We start from the raw sequence: 5077 nt of genomic DNA, 5'->3' as shown, positions 1-5077 counted from the left end.
CTAGCAAATAAAATTATTTTTAAAGTAAAGGTACAGAATATGAAGTTAAAGTGAATTTTACTAGGCATTAAGTGTTATGTCCTTTGAAGAAATCAACTATGCATCCTGATTCTCTCACATTTAAGACAGTCAAAATTTTCTAGTATCTATGAGTGAAAATTGAGATGATTGAATATGAACTCAGACAATGCAACTCAGCAAAAAGAACTCTGCATGTGAGAGTGAAGAGACCTAAATTCTATTCTGCCATCCTCAAGGTCACAAAGTAAGTTTCATGGCAAATGTAATTTGGCTTCTCCAGACTTCTAGCTTCCCAATTGTACAATGATCGAATTTTTGCTTAATCTTTCCTGGCTGACTCCATAGGGTTTAATGAGGCACAGGAGAGCTTGGGAAGTAAATTACTCTTCATTCATCATTTACTTATTCTCTCATTCACACTTTCATTCATTTGTTCACCAAACATTATTAAGCAATGTATATTTGCTCAAAGATTAATAAGATTAATAAGACACCATCCAGTGACACATATGGAAATGGATAAGTCCCATTTAAAAGCTGTATAAAGGATGGAAAAACTAAGTCTGAAGCAGTGAGAGAAGGCTTCTACTTTGAAGTTTTTTAACTCAGGATGTAGAATACGGTGTTCATTTATTATTTAATCCCATAAGTAAAGAAAGCATTTATTCTGTGCCAAATTTATGACAGGAATTAGGACATGTGCTGAGGATTCAAAACTAACTTCCAACAGACTTTACCATTAGGAGTTTATGGCCTATAACTAATAACAACAGGTTATATATTTGAGCACAGGTTTCTGTAGAGACACAGATTTGGATCACCTAACCAAAATTGGGAGTCAGAAGTCAGGGAAGATGTAACAAACCTATGATATTTGTGTCTGGCCAGTCAAGGGTAGGATGATGTTTAAGAATTTGTACTTCTTCTCATATCAACACCCCAAAGTTCCCTTGGAGACCACCACTTCTGCCCCATCAATCCACTGTCCAAGTAGTGCTCCACTCTAAATTCCACAGGTTGACATAATGCCTTAGGCCAGGACAATCACACACAGCCTGAATCCTCCTGGCTAAAGTGACACTTCAGCAGTAAGCATATTATCCAGGCCTACAATTCCAGCAGCCCAGAACACTAATTGATTCAGGGATAGATATGGGAACCAGATTAGTTGACATATAGTGACTCTCAAAATGTTTACAGGTGATACCAAGAAGAAACTGGGCTTGAATCTATTATCTCACAGACTGTGAGCTGCTAGAAGCCATCCTACTGTCACTTGTGACTAAATGTAAAATGAAAGAAAGCAGAACAAGGAATGGAGTGGGCCAGGAAATAGGTGAGAGCAACACAAAAAAAGCAATTGATATAAAGAAGTTATAGAAAGATGAACAACACAAGAGAGTGTTTGAGACAAACATTTTCCCCCATGAATGTTAGAAAAAATAAATTTGGAGGACAAAAGCAAAAGATTATAGTGCAGAAAAATTTTTGCAGGGGAGTGATAAAGTGATTTTTTGAAAGAGAATTGTCTTTTTGACTGTGGAATAAATTAAGCAAAGGAAGACTGGAGGCAGGTAAATGAGTGAAGGTGCTGTGGATGTCATCCAGGAAAGAAAGATGACAGCCAAAAGTTAGGCGGAAAGACAGAGAAGAGAAAGGAAGAAAGGGCCAGTATCATAAAGTACAATTAGCAGGATATAGAGATTGAGAATGATAGGAATGCAGGCTGGATTCCAAGTTGTCTCTTGAGAGGAAGAATGAATAATGAGATCAATCTCCAAAATAGGAAATACAAGGAATGGAGCAACCGTGAGTGAAAAAGATAGAGTTCTCCTTTAATCATGTTAAACTTTGAGTACTTAGATTTTTGCAAATAGAGACTTAATAGGTAATTTAAAAGTTTGTGGCAGAAAATTAGGTTTTGAAATTTTTTTCCAAATCATCTATAAAGAGTTACGTAGGTAGATGAATTAAAATGGAATATATATGTAAGATAAAATGAGAGAAGTTAAGATTGTGACTCCAGGAAAGAGATAAGAACATACAGTCAGAGACTGCCAACAGAGGAAACTTGAGTCCTGCAAGTCAAGGGGAAGAGAGAATGGTTCAAGTAGGAAATAATCAATACTAGTACACTCAGCAGAAATGTTTTTTTAAAATAAATAACCATGGTATTTGCAATAAAGATATCATTGGCAGTATTAATTAAAGTTGTTTTAGTGAAAATATTTTTTTCACTAGATTCAAAAATAGAGGAATGAGGAGAGAAATAAAGATATTGACAGTAGATGACTAGTTTAAGAAATGGTAAAAAAAAAAAAATCCATAGACGGTAGTGGCTTGAGTGTAGCATAGGAAAGATTTTGGTGTTGAGTTTTTATTGTTTGCTTATTAATGTGGGAGTAGGTATATTTTTATGCTGCCCGGAAAGATGCAATTGGAAAAAAAATGCATGAAAATATGGGAAGGAAAAAGCTAATAAAGGGAGGCCCATGATGAAACAGGAAAGAATCACTCTGAAATAACACATGAAGAAAAGGAATTAAGCATAAGAAATAGGAATGGGACTAGAGTTTTCTGGGTGGTCTGGGCCTGAGTATGGAGGGGGAGATGGTGCTGTGATTAAATGCACCTGGTAAAGATGTGGAGAAATGGAAAGGCATAGCAACACAGGGAATTGAAGATAATACTTGTTCAATTAATAGATTTAATGAGTGAATGAATGAATGAAGGAATGAAATGCAATGAATTTGAACCAGAGATTTGGACACAACTAATGTTCCAGGTGAATGAATGAAGGACATTTTAGTCAAATGTAAGAATGAATGAATGCAAAGATGTAGAAGAGTGAAAGATCTTCCTTGTTTCTCTCCAGGAGTGCAAGGTGCAAAGTTGAGTGTAGTTTAGGGTGATGATTGAAATTAAGACTGACGAAGATCTCTAGAGATAGATTGTAAAAAGATTTGCATTTAGAAGTGGGGTGTACATATTTTTACTTTCATGAAAGAATCTTTAAGCAGGGGAAGGACTTTGTCAAATTTCTTTTTTAAGAACATAATACCAACAGCTCTGCAAGAACTGGTGAGTTTAGACGGAGAAAAAGTCTAGATTCCTAAGCATTTCTGAGATAAATTCTACATTTGATACCTAAAGAAATGTGTGTCATAAAGACAGAGATCAGTAGAGTATGACTATAACACAAGAGGGAGTTTTAGAAGGTATATGTTGAATCAAGACTTCCTCTAAAGCCCACTTGGATCCTCTGCTTAAGTAAAAATATGCTTATTTCAAACAGTCAATTTTAAAGGTAAAACCAGTGAGTGTATACCATGCACTTAAAATGATTTTGAAGATCTACGATATTCCAGACATTGTACAAAACACTAGAGATATGAATAAAGCTCAATGTTTGCTCTACGACATCTTCATAGCCCTCTAATAATAAATAACGTAGTCAATAAAGACAAACTGATGTGTGAAAGGCAATATTAGAAATATTCATATGGTAGTATGAAAACACAAAAATGAACACCCAACTTTTCTTATGTGCATAAAGAAAAGTTGCACAGAGCTGAATTTGAATAATAGCTCAGAGGATAAGCTATAGTTTTCATAGGAAGATAAAGGGAATGATAAGGGGAATAGCAGGGAGAGTATGCATCCCATTTGAACAACAAAATGCCTTCTTAGACCAGAGGGAGAAGCAAGCTTTAGGAGTGTTTATTTATGGAGGAGACTGTAAAGCTAGTAGATGTGGACAGTCTTGAATGCAATGTCACTGTCTTTTTTTTCTGTTGTTTCAGTCTGTACTGCTAAAACAAAATACCTGAAACTGGGAAACTGATAAATCACAGAAATTTCTTTTCTCACAGTTCTGGAAGAGGGGAAGTCCAAGGTCAAGGTGCTAGCAGATTTTGTGTCTGGTGAGAGCTGCTCTCTGCTGCCAAGATGGCATCTCTTGGTGAGTCCTCACAAGAAGGAAAAGAAAAGCACAAAAGAACACCTCCTTCAACTTTTTTTCTTCTTTTTTTTTTTTTTTTGAGATGGAGTTTTGCTCTTGTTTCCCAGGCTGGAGTGCAATGGCACCATGTTGGCTCACCACAACCTCTGCCTCCCAGGTTCAAGCGATTCTCCTGCCTCAACCTCCAGAGTAGCTGAGATTACAGGCATGCACTGCCATGCCTGGCTACTTCTGTATTTTTATTTATTTATTTATTTATTTATTTATTTATTTATTTATTTATTTGAGACAGAGCCTCACTCTGTCACCCAGGCTGGAGCGCAATGGCGCGATCTTGGCTCTCTGCAACCTCTGTTTCCTGGCTTCAAGCGATTCTCCTGCCTCAGCCTTCTGAGTAGCTGGGATTACAGGCGCCCACCATCACGCCTAGCTAATTTTTGTATTTTTAGTAGAGATGGGGTTTCCCCATGTTGGCCAGGCTGGTCTTGAACTCCTGACCTCAGGTGATCCACCCGCCTTGGCCTCCCAAAGTGCTGGGATTACAGGCATGAGCCACCGCGCCTGACCTACTTCTGTATTTTTAGTAGAGACAGGGTTTCTCCATGTTGGTCAGGCTGGTCTCGAACTCCTCACCTCAGGTGATCCACCCGCCTCGGACTCCCAAAGTGCTAGGATTACAGGTGTGCTACTGAGCCCGGCCCCTTCAACTTCTTTTATAAGGCATCACAAGGTTTCTAATCCCATTCATGAGGGATCCACACTCATGACAACTACCTCCTAAATGTCCCACGTCTTTACATATGATCAGAGTGGCAATTAAGTTTCTATGTATAAATGCTGGGAATGCATTTAGACCATAGCACCTATGAGGATTATGATGACGATACTAATGATGGGGATCATGATTGAGATGACTATAATGAATATTTATTAAGTACTTACTATGGCCAACAGTTATTGCACTACACATTTATAGAAAGTCATTCATGTCTTTCCCTTGGGCAGCCTGTAAGTTCAATATTAACACCATTTTACAGGTAAGGAAGATGAGGCACAGAGAGGTTGAATAAATGGGCCAAATTCATCAACTGCTAA

The sequence above is a fragment of the Homo sapiens genome, chromosome 6 (genome assembly GCF_000001405.40).
Source record: "Homo sapiens chromosome 6, GRCh38.p14 Primary Assembly".
Lineage (NCBI taxonomy): Eukaryota > Metazoa > Chordata > Mammalia > Primates > Hominidae > Homo > Homo sapiens.
This window is presented reverse-complemented; position numbering follows the sequence as displayed.